Source organism: Homo sapiens, chromosome 4, assembly GCF_000001405.40.
Source record: "Homo sapiens chromosome 4, GRCh38.p14 Primary Assembly".
NCBI lineage: Eukaryota > Metazoa > Chordata > Mammalia > Primates > Hominidae > Homo > Homo sapiens.
Window position 1 is genome coordinate 128,646,124 of NC_000004.12, and position 16,535 is coordinate 128,662,658.

Sequence of the window (16,535 nt, forward strand, 5' to 3'; positions counted from 1 at the left end):
CACGGAGCAAAGAGCAGGAGGACAGGGGATTGATCTACCAAGGGAGGTTCCCCGAACCGAGTCATGGCACCAAATTTCATGCGCGTCCGTGTGAAGAGACCACCAAACAGGCTTTGTGTGAGCAATAAAGCTTTTTAATCACCTGGGTGCAGGCGGGCTGAGTCCGAAGAGAGAGTCAGCAAAGGGGATAGGGGTGGGGCTGTTTTATAAGATTTGGGTAGGTAAAGGAAAATTACAGTCAAAGGGGGGTTATTCTCTGGCGGGCAGGAGTGGGAGTCACAAGGTGCTCAGTAGGGGAGTTTTTGAGCCAGGATGAGCCAGGAGAAGGAATTTCACAAGACAATGTCATCAGTTAAGGCAGGAACAGGCCATTTTCACTTCTTTTGTGGTGGAATGTCATCAGTTAAGGTAGGAACCAGCCATCTGGATGTGTACGTGCAGGTCACAGGGGATATGATAGCTTAGCTTGGGCTCAGAGGCCTGACATTCTGCACTTGGCAATGTGGTCTACAGCTATAAGAAAAAGCCAGCTACTTGCCAGTAGGGATTCTATTCCTTGAGTTCCTAAGTATTTTCTTTGACTCTTAGCCCTAACCATGACCTTCTAACCCCCTACTTCCATAGAGTACTTTTCTCCATAGCAGGGTTGTTTCTGACACTATATCACCAGGAGCAGGGAATTTTCCAAGGGCGATCAGATATGTCTCAAAGAACATAGCAAGAAGCCAAATTTAGGAAGGGCAAGGAAGTTATAAAAGTACACAGCCCACCTTATTTATCCCAGTGGTGGTGGTGGTGTCAGACACCTCAATAATCCCAGTGATTTCCATTGCACTTATCCTGAGGCCCTGGATGCCCCTAGAAAAATCTGGGTAGTTGTCCCCATCTCTGCTCTTACATTAATCATATCTTGTCTGAGGGAAAGAAAAAGGAAAGTGACACCTACTAAGCCCTCATTGTGTGACAGATACTGCCCTAGGTACGTATAGAAAACACATTCTGGTGTGAGATGGTATCTCATTGTGGTTTTGATTTGCATTTCTCTGATGGCCAGTGATGATGAGCATTTTTTCATGTGTTTTTTGGCTGCATAAATGTCTTCTTTTGAGAAGTGTCTGTTCATATCCTTTGCCCACTTTTTGATGGGGTTGTTTGTTTTTTTCTTGTAAATTTGTTTGAGTTCATTGTAGATTCTGGATATTAGCCCTTTGTCAGATGAGTAGGTTGCAAAAATTTTTAGAATGGCAATTATTAAAAAGTCAGGAAACAACAGGTGCTGGAGAGGATGTGGAGAAACAGGAACACTTTTACACTGTTGGTGGGACTGTAAACTAGTTCAACCATTGTGGAAGTCAGTGTGGCCATTCCTCAGGGATCTAGAACTAGAAATACCATTTGACCCAGCCATCCCATTACTGGGTATATACCCAAAGGACTATAAATCATGCTGCTATAAAGACACATGCACACGTATGTTTATTGCAGCACTATTCACAATAGCAAAGACTTGGAACCAACCCAAATGTCCAACAATGATAGACTGGATTAAGAAAATGTGGCACATATACACCATGGAATACTATGCAGCCATAAAAAATGATGAGTTCATGTCCTTTGTAGGGACATGGATGAAATTGGAAATCATCATTCTCAGTAAACTATCGCAAGGACAAAAAACCAAACACCGCATATTCTCACTCATAGATGGGAACTGAACAATGAGAACACATGGACACAGGAAGGGGAGCATCACACTCTGGGGTGGGGTTCTGTTGTGGGGTGGGGGAGGGGGGAGGGATAGCATTAGGAGATATACCTAATGCTAAATGACGAGTTAGTGGGTGCAGCGCACCAGCATGGCACATGTATACATATGTAACTAACCGGCACATTGTGCACATGTACCCTAAAACTTAAAGTATAATAATAATAAAAAAAAAGATGACACAACAACAACAACAAAATAATAAAAATAAATAAATAAATTCTTGAAGAGCTGTACTGAAAAAAAAAAAAAAAAAAAAAAAGAAAGCACATTCTGGAGCATCTACCCAGCCCACAACAATCCCTGCAGCTCCCCTTCTCACACAGGGGCGAGCCTTTCAGCTGTGTGTGCTGCTTGAGCCTAGTGCACCCTCCCACTGTTCCAACCCCATCCACTCATGACCACAGTGAACCTATGTTATAAGGGGAAGAATCAAATTGTTGTGAGACTTTGGACTTGGGATTATGAGATTCTGGTTCCCCCTATGTTAGTGTCTTGGAAGATGTACATTCAAGAGCTCTAGGTAGCTAAATTCTGTCAGCTCTGTTGGTTTGGAGGAGAGAAAGCCAAACCTTACAAGGAGAGGAAAAAACCCCAGATGTACAAAGTAAAGCTACAATGACTCCTGATGACCTTTTATTTTTTGATTCCAGCCTCATTATAAGGCTTAGCTGAATTACTAATGTTAAGAATGATGAGACATCACTATAACCTTACAATTAATTCTCTCTCTCAATCTCTCTTGCTTTTTTTTTCTTAAACTGGCTCAGGTGGGTTTCTGTTACCTGGAATGAAAGGAATCTTAATGGGCTGGGCGGGGTGGCTCATGCCTGTAATCCCAGCACTTTGGGAGGCCAAGGTGGGTGGTTCTCTTGAGGTCAGGAGTTTGAGACCAGCCTGGCCAACTAAACGGGATTTAGTAGAAACCCCGTTTCTACTAAAAATACAAAAAATTAGCCAGGCATGGTGGTGTGCGCCTGTAGTCCCAGCTACTCAGAGGCTGAGGCAGCAGAATCGCTTGAACCTGGGAGGTGGAGGTTTTGGTGAACCGAGATCGTGCCACTGCACTCCAGCCTGAGCAACAGAGTGAGACTCCATCTCAAAAAAAAAAAAAAAAAAAAAAAAAAGGAATCCTAACGATAAAGTAGGCACATGCTTTACTTTACCTTGATTCTCACAGCACATCTGTGAGGGATTTTTTATCTCTATTTTACAGATGAAGGAACTGGTATTAAGTAAGTTGTCTTATGTTTCATAAATTTTAGGGAATGGCATTTGAACCTGAGTTTTTTCATCTCAAAACCCTGGACTTTTTCCATTGAGCCCTTATCCCTTTGGAGTTTCTCTGACAGCTGGGTGGATCTTCCCCCATGACTTCACAGAGCCACTGAAGTTGTATACTCACTGAGGTGACAAAGGCTCCAGGTACCACCACCACCCCCTGACTACTGATCCCCCTGGCAAGATGCCAGTTTCTGTCTGTTATGCCTGCTGCTTCACTTTGGGAACACAGACTGTACCTTTTTTCTGAGGCTGGAAGGCTCCACAAGGGAGCAGAGACTTCCCTAAAAGGAACAAAATCAAGTCCAAAAGAATGTACGTCCTTTAGATGTGTTTGCCAACCTCTGCCAGTCAGCAGGGTCCCATGGTACCCAGGCTTGTTACACTGCAAAATCCTCCCCCACCCCTGCCACATAACACTCAGAATACACTTGCCACTGGAAAATATGACCAGGATGGGTTGGTCTGTTCTTTCCAGAAACTAGTGTCCCTTATCTTTCCACTGAAAGTAGGCTCCCAGCTCTGTCATTCAGATTCTCCTGGAGAGGTAAGGATACTGCTGGTGTGGGACCTGTGTCCTGTGTCAGACCAGGGAAGTGCTCCCAGGCTCCCTGACTTGTCCAGGGACTTTGGTCCTTTGGTATTTACATAAGAATCTACTACATGTTAAAGATAAAAACGTATTCCCCCAGGTCTTCCTAGTGCCTTGGGTGATCATTAAAAGACTCATTTTGTGCTTAACATAGAAACATAGATTCTCTTTCCATGGATCTTGGGAGGCTGAGTTTTTGGTGTTGAGATTCCCTGCCCTCTGAGTCAGACCCAGCATAGTTCCACAGAGATGGTAGTTGATTTTTTTTCTTTCCTGTGTGATGATTAAGATGGCCATCTGATGATTGCTGTAACCACAGTAGCCTGACCAAGGTTTATAAAAAGGGAGTAATAATTACAATTTGGGGGCCTTTCTCAACTCCCATCTTCATCTTCAATTTCTTCTACCACCTAACAAACTTTGAAGCTAAGTAGTTACCAGTTCAAGAATTTGGATGAGTTGTTCATGTTCCCACTGATACTGGTTTCCTAAGTATTTGCAAGGAAAGGTAAGGGAAACTGAGACTAACATTAGGTTAATCTCACTTCAATACCTGGCACAGACTAGCCCCTGAATAATCATTTTAAAATAATGAATTACAAAACAGATGATAAAACATTTAATAAAAAAAATCTATGATATGTTATGATACTCAATGTGAGGGGAGAGCAAAAGAAAAGCTCTACTTTACAGAAGAGTAACAGCTAATAAAGAAGCAGGGATGATAGAATTAGAAGAACCACTATCTTGCAATTCCCAGTGTAATATTTTGTTCAGGGAAGGATCATCAGTAAATGGGAAAGCCATTAGGTGAAAAATTGATGGGAACCAAGTTATTCATAATTCTTAAAACATCAACTGTCAGATCACTTGTTAATTGCCAAGGGGAAAAGATACCTTTATTTTATTTTATTTTATTTTATTTTATTTTATTTTATTTTATTTTATTTTATTTTTGAGATGGGGGTCTCACTCTGTTGCCCAGGCTGGAGTGCAGTGGTGTGATCACGGCTTACAGCAGCCTCGACTTCCCCAGGCTCAGGTGATCCTCCCACCTCAGTTTTGGCATTTTCTGTAGAGGTGGGATTGGCCATGTTGCCTAGGCTGGTCTCAAACTCCTGGGCCCAAGCGATCTGCTGCCTTGGCCTCCCATAGTGCTAGGATTATAGGCGTCTACCACCACGCCTGGCCCCACGTTTACAATAGAGAATTACAGGAAATAACATTTTAACCTAGCTGTTACCCAAAATACCACCAATAATGAGACAAAGTGACATGACATGCCCCTGTTATGGTGCGATGTGAAGTACACAAAAATATCACATATTAATATTCTGCCAAAAATATGTGAACTAAATATAATTATGAGGAAAAAACCATACAGTCATAAAATTAAAAATCTTAGGCTTTCTACAAAATAAATGACCTGGGCTTTTCAAAAATAAAAATAAATAAATGTCATGAGGCCAGGCGCGGTGGCTTACGCCTGTAATCCCAGCACTTTGGGAGGCTGAGGCAGGCGGATCACGACATCAGGAGATCCAGACCATCCTGGCTAACACGGTGAAACCCCATCTCTACTAAAAATACAAAAAATTAGCCTGGCATGGTGGTGGGCGCCTGTAGTCCCAGCTACTCGGGAGGCTGAGTAGCTAATGGACCCTAAATGGACTCTAAAATAAAGATATTTTAGAGTCAATTGGGGAAATTTAAACACAGAGTATACATTAGATGATATTAATCAATGTTCAATTTCTCAGATGCAGTAGTGGTTTTGAGGTTACCCAGGAAATTTTCCTTGTTCTTAGAAGATACATTTTTAAGTATTTAATGATGAAGTGTCATGATGTCTGAAATTTATTTTCAAATAGTTCAGCAATAAAATTATACATAGAATATATATATAATGTATATGTGTGTCTAGGCACATGGGTAGAGAGAGTGAGACAGAAAGCAACTGAGGCAATATGTTAACAATTGTTGAATTTAAGTGAAGAATATATACGTATTGTACTATTCTTCCAACTTTTCTGAGGGCTTAAAGTTTTTCAAAATAAAAAATTTGTAGGAGAAAAAAGAATAAAGGATGAAAGAAATGAGGAACAAACTAAACTTCACCTTCTGAATGAATTCAAAAGCCCAAGTAGGTCTTTTCCTGAAATAGGTGAGAAAAATTGGAAAGATAAGCAGAATAAAAAGGCAATAGAATCATAGAATGTCATAAGTTAAAGGGTCTTTAAAGTCCAGTGTGTGGACTAGTTCTGAGAACCGTTTTACAAGAAAAAGCTTTTGGTAAAATAAATAAGGGAAATGCATACTCTGCCTCCCTCTTGGAGCATCGTGGTGAATATTATTAGCACACTAAATTTCTGAATAAAGAAATATGTTTAATTTTGTTTAATGTCACAATTCCTAAACTTATTTGACCATGGAATGCCTTTTTAAAAATATTACTCCTTGAATACACATGTCCATACATACATACCTACAGAGTGGAATAATCGACACTGGAAACTCCAAAAGGTGGGAGGGCAGGAGGGGGGTGAGGGTTGAAAATGTACCTATTGGGTACTACATTCACTATTTGGGTGACAGTTACACTAAAAGCTCAGACTCCGACAGTATGCTATGTGCGCATGTAAGAAATCTGCATTGTACCCTCCAAATATAACAGAGCAAGACTCCGTTTGGAGTCTGGAGTGCAGTGGCGCGATCTCAGCTCACTGCAACCTCCGCCTCCCGGGTTCATGAGATTCTCCTGCCTCAGTCTCCCGAGTAGCTGGGACTACAGGCACCCACTACCACGCCTGGCTAATTTTTGTATTTTTAGTTGAGACGGGGTGGGGTTTTGCCATGTTGGCCAGGTTGGTCTCGAGCTCCTGACCTCAGGAGATCCACCCACTTTGGCCTCCCAAAGTGCTTGGATTAGAGGCATGAGCCACCGTGCCCAGCCAAAAATAATTTTTAAAAAATTACTCCCATTAATTTCCTCAGAAATAATGTTCCTCACAATACACCTAAAGAAACCTTGATCTAGCCCAACATCCTTATTCTGGCAGGTGAAGAAATGGAGGCTCAGACCAGTTGATTTTTTCAAGGTCACAGAGAAAGAGCTCTTGTTGCCCAGGCTGGAATGCAGTGGAGCGACCTCGGCTTACCGCAACCCTTGCCTCCCGGGTTCAAGTGATTCTCCTGCCTCAGCTTCCCGAGTAGCTGGAATTACAGGCATGCACCACCATACCCAGCTAGTTTTTTGTATTTTTAGTAGAGATGGGGTTTCACTACTAAACCCCATCAGGGTTGGTCAGGCTGGTCTCAATCTCCTGATCTCGTGATCCACCCGCCTCGGCCTCCCAAAGTGCTGGGATTACAGGCGTGAGCCACCGCGCCTGGCCCCTGAAAATGTTTCTTATAAAGATCATGCGACTTGAAATATTTAACATCATTTTAACCAACAAAAGCCCCATATTTTCTCCCATTTACAGACGTTCTACATATAGGATCTGTTTTGCAAACATGACGCTGTTGTTTATAACCATGGAGACATATGTTGTTTGCGCTTAATATTGTACTGTATGTGAGAAAATGAAATGCCTTCTATATGTGATGCTAATTCAAATTTTATCTTGTTATATGGACTAAATATTACATGGAATTGTGATAGAATCGCCCTGTCTTAAGTACACTGTTTATTCTAAGAGTTGTGATAGGCTAAGGGGGGAAAAACCCCAAGTTTTATTGCTTTACAAGCCAACCACGTTAAGAGCATACATCTGCTTTAAAACTATACAATTTCTTTTCTAGTGCCCAAGTAGATTTGCTCTGGGCTCAAGCAGTTATTAAACCCCGGCGCTGTCTCTGATAGCTGCAGTTTGCATTCCAAGCATGAGCACAGTGCTGGGGCAGGACAGGCTCGGCTCAGTCAACAGATGTCAACTCCCCTTGTAAACGCAGCTGCTCTGTCTCACAACTGGCAAAGAGAACTGAAGGAGTTCCCTTCCCTTTATGGCTTTTATCTCTCTGGCTAATAGGGGATGATGCTTAAAGGAGGTAATTCTTGAGCAATAAATCCAGACTGCAAATAAAACAAGGGAAGAGGGAGGAAAATCACAATGTAAGAAGTTTCCTTTGTTTACTACGCTTAATTGGGATTCCACACATGAATGAAGAAGAGAAGACGGTCTCTCCCAGGGTGACTGGGAAAGGGAAAAAAAGGTGGGTTCCTCTGTCTGTGTGCTTTTTAATGTGCAAATTAGTCAGAGCCTTTTCCAACCCAGGAAAGCTTACAGTTCTGAGTACAGGGTCAGTGTCTTAGTAGTGCTCAGTAAATATTAATTGAAGGGGATGATGGCTTTAAGGGGTGAGCTTCATTCCATTCTCTCAGGACAGCCCTCCAGCCAAGTACCTAAAGGTCACTCTGCCTCTTGCCTCAAGCATTATCTCAATGACCCCTTTAGTTAATGAGAAAGCTCTCAGTTCTCTTGTTTGCCTTCCAACTCATCTTCAGTTCTTGCCAATTTATTCCGCCTTCTGCACTTAGAGGCCGCTGAGAACAAAGCAGGGATGAATGGCAACAACAGCTGCTGCAGCCCCACTTCTTGGGCACAGTCCTTCACCATGGAGCTCTCCAAACTACCCTCCTTGAGCTGGCATTGAAGAGGAGGGGCTTGAAGGAATAGGCTGGAGAACTGGGTAGGGGCTGCAGCAAGGAACATAGATTGTGTTTTTGTTTCCAGCAACTCACTCCCCATTCTGACAGATTACACAGACTTGTGTGACTGGTGAAGGGTATCCAGGTTCTTGGCATTTTGAACAAAGAATTGGACAAAAATGCACAAACAAAGCAACAAAAGAGAAGCACAGATTTATTGAAATGAAAGTACACTCCACAGAGTGGGAGCAGGCTCGAGCAAGCAGCTCAAGAGCTCTGGTTACAGAATTTTCTGGGATTTAAATACCCTCTAGAGGTTTTTCATTGGTTATTTGGTGTACATCCTGTGTAAATGAAGTAGTGGCCCACGATCAGCCCAATTGGTTAAGGAAAACAATCAATCAGAGGCTGAAGTTAAGTTACAAAGTTGCAACCTATGCAAACGTCTGATTGGTTGTGGAAAGTGACCAATCAGAGGCTGAAATGAAGTTATAGAGTTATACTCCTATGCAAACGAAGACTTGGCCCAAGATCAGTCTGATTGGTTGTGAGGGGGGACCAATCAGAGGTACTTTCAATTTTTCATCTACCATGTGGAAAAGCGGGGAAGGGGGTTGCAAAGGCAGTAGCCTCTCATCCTTTTGTTACTTGGGTGTGGAAAGTCAGGCTTTTCCTTTTGATTTAGTTCTAGGAAGTCAGGGTAAATCAGCCTTAGGTTCCCTGCCTCCAGACCCTATTCTCCTTCTCTTGGAGTACCTCCTATGGGAGAGTCTACAATTTCTGCACCTTTGATGTCAGGCTTGGGCACGTGAGTGACTAGGCCTTGTGGGTGACCTTGACTATGCCTCATCTGTGCCAAATCTTTAAGAGTGATTGTATTCCACCAGCTCTCTTGCTGTTTTCTCTCTGTCATAGGAATGGCATACCCCAAAATGGACTGCTCTTTCAGCCTGGATCTGGAATGAAGAAGACATAAAGCCAGTTTTGATGCACCTGTCTTCTTTATTCCAGATCCAGGATAAGTATTTGTAGTTGTAACTGAGATTTTGGGGTTGCTTGTTACAGTAGCAGAGCTGACTAATGCATACCCTGCAAGTGCAGTGGGAAAAAGAAGTTTGTGACCTGAGTATCCCACCAATACTTGTCTTTACCCATCAGGCTGCCAAACTGTGATGAATAATAAGAGCTCCTGCAGCTCTTGTACCTGCTGTTTGACACTGCCTCAACAGTCTCCTTGACTAAATAAAGCGAGTATATTGTATAATATGGCATTCCAACTGCCAACACAGCAAGCAAGGGGCTTCTAGAAAGGGAATCCCCTCTAAGGTTGGAGAAATCTTAGCTTTCTCCAAGATTCTCATGTAAAACATTGTATCATTCACTTCTCTGAGCAGAAATCCAGATAAACCTAGTGCCTTCTCCAACCTTGGAGGTACTAAGCTGCCTTCTAAGAGGAGCAAAGGGACCTGTGGTAGAGTGTCATGATGATATGGGTAACTTTGACTCATTTATACTTTGCTTTTTATCTATGGTCTTCCTCCAAAGCATATGCTTAGTGTAAATTGTAACTAAATACTGATTTAGACTAATGTCCGAGTGGAAAATAACTATCTAAAAATAAAATATTCATGAATTTGAGTTCAATTATAGCTTTATGTTGTTGTTATTAGGGACTATCCTTTGTTGGTTTAAGTCAGCTCTGTGCCTTTATGAAGATGGTTATATGAAAATATTGAATTACACAGCTTCCTTTAGGAACTCTTTGACTGTAAAATTTTCACACACTTGTGAAATTTAAGCAGATTACATTATACCAATAGATTTTTGATAGCTATCTTAAAATAATGAGTTCAAACCAAGAGACGATTATAACTGACAACAGAAATGTAACTGTGAACTTTAAAAATATGCTAATGCTTGTCCCTATATAGAAATATTAGCTTAAGTTCTTTCTGTGACATATGTGTGTTTATAATCTATTTTTGTAATAGGGTAAAAAAATCAACTCCAAAAATATCACTCTCCCCTTTGACATTTATCAGTGATAGCAATAATGCCAGCGAGCATTAGTACACTGAAGAAGTACAGAGATGCCTCCTAAGGCATATCTTTAGGTTTTATCTTTAAATGATCTCCTTATCCCTGACTTAATTTGAATGATGTTTTAGATCAAATTCATATATAATGAATGGTGACTATGTTGATCTGGTCCTGCTCGTTTTTACAGGTTTAGGGTCTTACAGAATACATAAAGCTCATAAGGGGGACTTAAAATGATTTGGGGAGACAGACAGACAGATAGATATATGGATAGATGGATAGGTGTATGAAAAACCAGATGAAAGAATGGATAGATGGGTTGCTTCTCTACTCCAAAAATAAAATAAGAAAAGAAAAATATTACGTAGTCATTTCTGTACTGATACTAATTTAATCTATTTCAGAAAGAAGGTCATATTTTCTTTCAATTTAAATAATGCAAATGCAAATAAATATAAATTAAATTGTGATAACGATTGTTATCATGGCAAAAAATTAAAATGCCTATCTCGAGGCATCTTTTGCCTTTAAGTGCTACTTTTCTCTTACTCTTGGAGGCTCAGTGGTGATTAATGATATTCTTCACACTCTCAAAGGCTTTCTTTAGGAACCCTTTCCCAGTGACCCCACAAGAAGACAAGGCTTCACCAGCTACGGAGGACATATGGTTTAAAGATCCTCAATTACTCTAAGGTAGTCACAGGCTGTGAACAAAATTTCTGTCATATTCCTGTAATGCCTTTTATAGGGAGAAGCAGGGAAATCCAGATTAGAATATAGTTTTCCTGGTGAGATTTGATGAGGTTTATAATTGTCTGAGAGTTTGGTTCCTATAGCTCCTAGACCCCTAAGGTTTTAATTATCAAATATTTGATTCAACCTTGAAAATAAGAACCTTTGAAAGAAAAGCAACACTTCCCTCCTTTGAAAAGCCTATATTGACCTTGCACCTCTATCTAGCAGCTGCCCTAGTACTGTAGCAGTTAACCCTAGTCACCACCATCCTTCTTGAACTTGACTCCTCCCCTAGCTTGTATGACTTTACTCTCTTTTTGTTCACCTCTCAAACCACTCCTTCTCAGAGTCCACTGCTGGGTCCCATCCATTGTCCACCCTTAAACGTTGACTTTCTTCAGCCCTCCTCAATTCTCACTCTGTACCCACTCCCCTGGTTTTAATTCTCACTGCTACACTGGTAACTCCTGACTCTATATATCTAGTCTTGATCTCGCCTCAGCTCCAGACCCATAGATTCGAGTGACTACAGGGTATCTACATTGGAGTGCCCATATGTAAACTCCCACTGTGCATCCTGTTTCTTGGGTATTAGACACTTTCCACTGTACTGTATGCCTGGAATTTGAAAGTCATCCTCTCTGAGCTCAATTACCAGTAGACATTAAACATCTCAGCGCTTATCTTATGGCAGCCATTGTGCTCGACTGGGAGATACAGAAATGAAAAAGACATTTTCTACCATGAAGAAACTTTTACTGTAAGGAGAGAAGAGGAAAAGCAAACAAAAAAAGGCAAACAAAGGCAGAGCAGGAGTGATATTGAAGAAGGAAAACCCTGTAAGTAGAAGGAGGAGAAGAGAGTAATCCTGAGTGAGGATTGAAGAAGAGACAGCAGCAAACTGGGCCTTGAAAGATGAATAGAAACTTCCTCCATAAAAATGGGGTAGTGGGAAGGGAGATAGTCCAAAAGGCAGGGAAAAGATGACCAGAAAAGCAGGGCGTGATTGCACAGCTCATTTCATTCATTCATTCCCCTAATTGGAGCTCAAAAACTGTCCTAAGCTCAGAGGAAAGGGAAAAATATGATGTGCCAACAGCAGTGTGTGTGTGCTGTGTAGTGGTGGGGTGTGTGTGCGCGTGTGTGTGTTGGGGAAGTCAAGGGGCATATGGTTGAAGAAACTAGAAAAGTAAGTTGGGGCCAGCCCTGAAAGCAGATGTTTGTTTCATTCACTTGAATGAAATGTACTTTGTACTTCCTGTGAGAAGGATAGGCCACTAAATTTCAGGGCTGATATTCACTTATGTATTTACAAAATAATACAAGTTGACATCAAGTTAAAAATATACTACCACGTGACTTCCTGCCATACACCAGAGAAATTCATAGCGGTAAAGTAAGTATTTAGTGAGCCAACATGTTGTGGATCTTTTTCCAAGCCTCATTGCTTTCCTGGCCAGCTCTGGACAAAAAGGCAAGTCAGGTTAAGAAGAAGAAAAATAGAACAGGGAGAAGGAAAAGGGGAAGGGGGAGAAGGGAGAAGGAGGGGAGAAGGGAGAAGGAGGGGAGAAGGGGGAAGAGAAGGGGGAAGAAGAGGAGTGGGGCAGGAAAAGGAGGAAGAGAGAGCCAAAACAAGAACAAAAAGAACAAGAACAAGAAGACCAGGCTGGGTACGGTGGCTCATGCCTGTAATCCCAGCACTTTAGGAGGCCGAGGCGGGCGGATCACCTGAGGCCAGGAGTTTGAGACCAGTCTGACCAACATGGAGAAACCCCATCTCCAAAATACAAAAATTAGCTAGGCATGGTGGTGCGCACCTGTAATTGCAGCTACTGGATGGGGGGTGGGGAGCGGGGGTGGTAGTGAGCACTGAGGCAGGAGAATCACCTGAACCTGGGAGATGGAGGCTGCACTGAGCCGAGATCGTGCCACTGCACTCCCGCCTGGGCAACAGAGCGAGACTCCTTCTCAAAAAAATAAATAAATAAAAAGGACAAGAACACCAACAACACTATTGATCATGTAGAATGCTCCTGGCCGGGCGCGGTGACTCATGCCTGTAATCCCAGCACTTTGGTAGGTTGCAGTGAGCCAAGACCATGCCACTGCACTCCAGCCTGGCGACAGAGCGAGACTCTGTCTCAAAAGACAAAAAAAAAAAAAAAAAAAAAAAAGAGAATGCTCCCATATTGAGACATTCTTAGCATGAAAAGGAATGCGGATTGAAAAAACTGGTTTTAATGGGCCCTATGTACATTGAAGTCTCACAACAGCTTATAGAGACAACATGGAAGTATGAAAACTTTTTTAAACCCAGACTGTGTTACTAGTTCTGAAACAGAAGCTATGTTTTACAAAGATAGATGATATATAATGTCTAAAAGGATCAGGCTTAAGAAGGGAACAGGCTAATGCAGACAGTGGTTGGCTTCCATGAGGAATGGGAAAACCATGGTGATAGAGCTCTGTGTTTGGTTAGTGTCATCTGAAGAGCAAGAAGAAAATGAACCAGAATTTGGGCTTCCAGGAGTTGCTGCTCAAGGGGATCAGAGCCACATCTGTGTGAAATGGCAGCTGGTGGCAAAGCAAAGTCATTTTCCTTTATTATGATAAGTAGTTGTGTAACACACAGGAGTGTACACCTTCCATCCATAGTATTAGAATTGGTTTATCTGGGTCGGGTGTGGTGGCTTACACCTGTAATCCCAGCACTTTGGAGGGCCATGGCAGGAGGATCGCTGGAGATCAGACGTTTGAAACTAGCCTGGGGCACATAGTGAGACCTTGTCTCTACTAAAAATAAAAAATATATATATAGCCAGGTGTGGTGGTGCGTGCCTGTAGTCCCAACTACTCAAGAGGCTGAGCCAGGAAGATTGCTTGAGCTCAGGAGGTGAAGCCTGCAGTCAGCCATGATCGTGCCACTGTACTCCAGCCTAGGTGACAGAGTGAGACCCTGTCTCAAAAAAAAGAAAAAAAAAAAGAATTGGTTTATCTGAACAACCTGTTAATGTGTTTGAATTGAAAAAGAAATTGTACTTATAGGCTCTATAAATGAATAAACTTGCACCTCAAAGGGTTCGTGGGGATTTATAAGGAAGGCTTGGGAATTCAAGAAAGAAACAGTGATATTAACATGGTGTACTTAAAGGATATGAAAACCAAGGGAAGTTGCCAGATTCAAGAGGAACTACTCTGTGTTCTATCCAAGCTGAACATTCCATTTTTACAAGGACTCCTTTGTTGTCATGTTTATACACAGACTAATAAATGCTTGACCTTTTTTAGTGATGAAGGAACAGTCTGTGCCTCAGGAGCATATTATTTCAAGAAGCACAAATGAAGAGAAAGTCCAAACCCTCTGGGACAGATGGACTAAATATTTTGGTATTGGAACCACATGGGGAAAGGCAGCAGTTGGGAAACAGAAACAGAGGCCTGATAAGGGAACCTGGAAACAGCATCAATCTTCTCAGAAGTTTCCAAGGACTCCAGATATGCAGGGAACTGGACACCAAGCTCACGTGAGGAAGGAATCAAAGTGAATGAAACATTGATCTTGAAGTTAGTAAAATGCAGTAAGTGAGGAAAATATCTGTGTTCTTGTGAAAGAGTTGATTTCTCAACTTTGGGGTTCTGTATAAAAATGACTAATATTCATCAAGCATTGGCTTTCTACTTAGAACAGAGTGTTTATATGAATTAACTTATGTAATCATCACATCAGTCTTATGATGCAGGCACTGTTCTTACTGCACCCACCTTTTTTCTTATATAGACAGAGAGGTAAGTAACCTCCCAGAGTCACAGAATGTTAGAGTGACTTTGACCGCGTTTATGTAGTCTCATGCCTGAGCTCACACTCTTGTGCCTCCCAGGGACTTTAGCAATCACCTAACTCTGATTTGCTTCCCTCCCCTCCTTACCCCAGCTTTCTCCCTCACTCCCTATTCTAAACAATTAAGAGTGAACTCAAGAGCATCCAAGGACCTGTGTAGTTGCCTTGAAATACCCCAAATATTTGTGTGTCTTAGGAATGACAAATCCCTGGTAATCATTACAATAATGATGTGGTATTATTATGAAGTATTTCATTAGTACTTATTCAATGGTGTTTCTAACATTGTATGGTTAAGTATCACCTCAAGAGTGAAGAATAATAATTGATGATAATGATCACGGGAAGCTGATATTTTAACTTTTGGTTCAAAAAGCCTTTACTTTGGAGAACCAGAGACCAATGATGAAATGTGATGTTCCAATTACAGGGCTGAAACCACAGGTATCTGAAATGCAGTGGAAAAAAACAATGAGAATGTGAGGGCCCTAGGTAACATGAAGCGATTGGTCTCGCTGTTGGGCATAATGAACTCCTACCTGCACTCAGTGCCACATGATGCAGAGTTTATGGTGCCTCTGAGACTGTTCGTAAAGAGAGGCGTTGTGTGGGACTGATAACAGCTCTGCTCAAGGACAGCAATGATGTCTGCCACATCCTTGGAGTTGGGAATTACCTGGCCTCGTTACCTCCTCCCCACTCCTCCCCACCCCAGGAATCTGGATGCTCAAGGCTTGACTATTTCCTCCATTCTCCCCTCACTCAAGCCCCGTGTTCAGAAGCAATCAGATAAACTCATTCATTCTGAAAAGTTTAATGTGTGACTCTTCCAAGGACAGTTTGTTTTAACAGAAAATCAAGTTTCAGAACAAATGTCCAACAGGTCCCAAATTTAACTCACTATACTCAAGAGTGTGAAAATCAAAAAAGTAAATTTTTGTTTCCCATGAAAGATCTAATCTTAACTCTCTGGCCTTCCCACACTGGGTGCTATGAAGAAAAACTCCTAAAATTGCTATTTAAAGCCATCTCAGTCTTTTCTATCTTAAGATAGTCTTAATTGGAGCAATCATCTAATCACTTACAATTTACCTCTTTTAGTTTTCTGTTGTTGCAAAAAAAAAACAAAAACAAAAACAAAAAAGCACACATACTTAGTGGCTTGAAACAACATGAATTTATTATCTTATCCTTCTATAGTTCAGAAGTCCAAAATGGGTCTCTTTAGGCTAAAATCAGATGTCAGCAGGGCTATGTCTCTTTCTGGAGGCTCTAGGGGATAATCCATTTCTGTGCACTGTCCAGATTCCAGAGGCCCCTCATATTCCTTGGTTTATGGTCCTTTCCTGCATCTTCAAAACCAGCAACAGTGTGTAGAGTTCTCACATCTCTCCTCTCTGAACGGACTCTTCCACATTTAAGGACTCTTGTGATTATACTGAGTCTACCCGGACAATCCAGGTTAGTCTCCTTATTTTAAAGTCAGCTGATTAGCAATCTTAACTCCATCAATTACCTTTTTTTTTTTTTTTTTTTTTTGAGACAGGGTCTCTTTGTATCACCCAGGCTGGAGTACAGTGGTACCTGGCTAATTTTTTGTAGAGACAGGGTTTCACCATGTTGCCCAGGCTGA

General features: G+C 41.7%; 2 annotated features.

Annotated features, from left to right (window-relative positions):
- Window positions 1,750-2,488: an enhancer, noted in NCBI's record as "NANOG-H3K27ac hESC enhancer chr4:129569028-129569766 (GRCh37/hg19 assembly coordinates)". NCBI's record gives its function as "activates a minimal SCP1, AML or CMV promoter by ChIP-STARR-seq in primed H9 embryonic stem cells {active_cell/tissue: H9 hESC(primed)}" and the evidence as "EXISTENCE:reporter gene assay evidence [ECO:0000049][PMID:30033119]".
- Window positions 6,439-6,938: an enhancer, noted in NCBI's record as "H3K27ac hESC enhancer chr4:129573717-129574216 (GRCh37/hg19 assembly coordinates)". NCBI's record gives its function as "activates a minimal SCP1, AML or CMV promoter by ChIP-STARR-seq in primed H9 embryonic stem cells {active_cell/tissue: H9 hESC(primed)}" and the evidence as "EXISTENCE:reporter gene assay evidence [ECO:0000049][PMID:30033119]".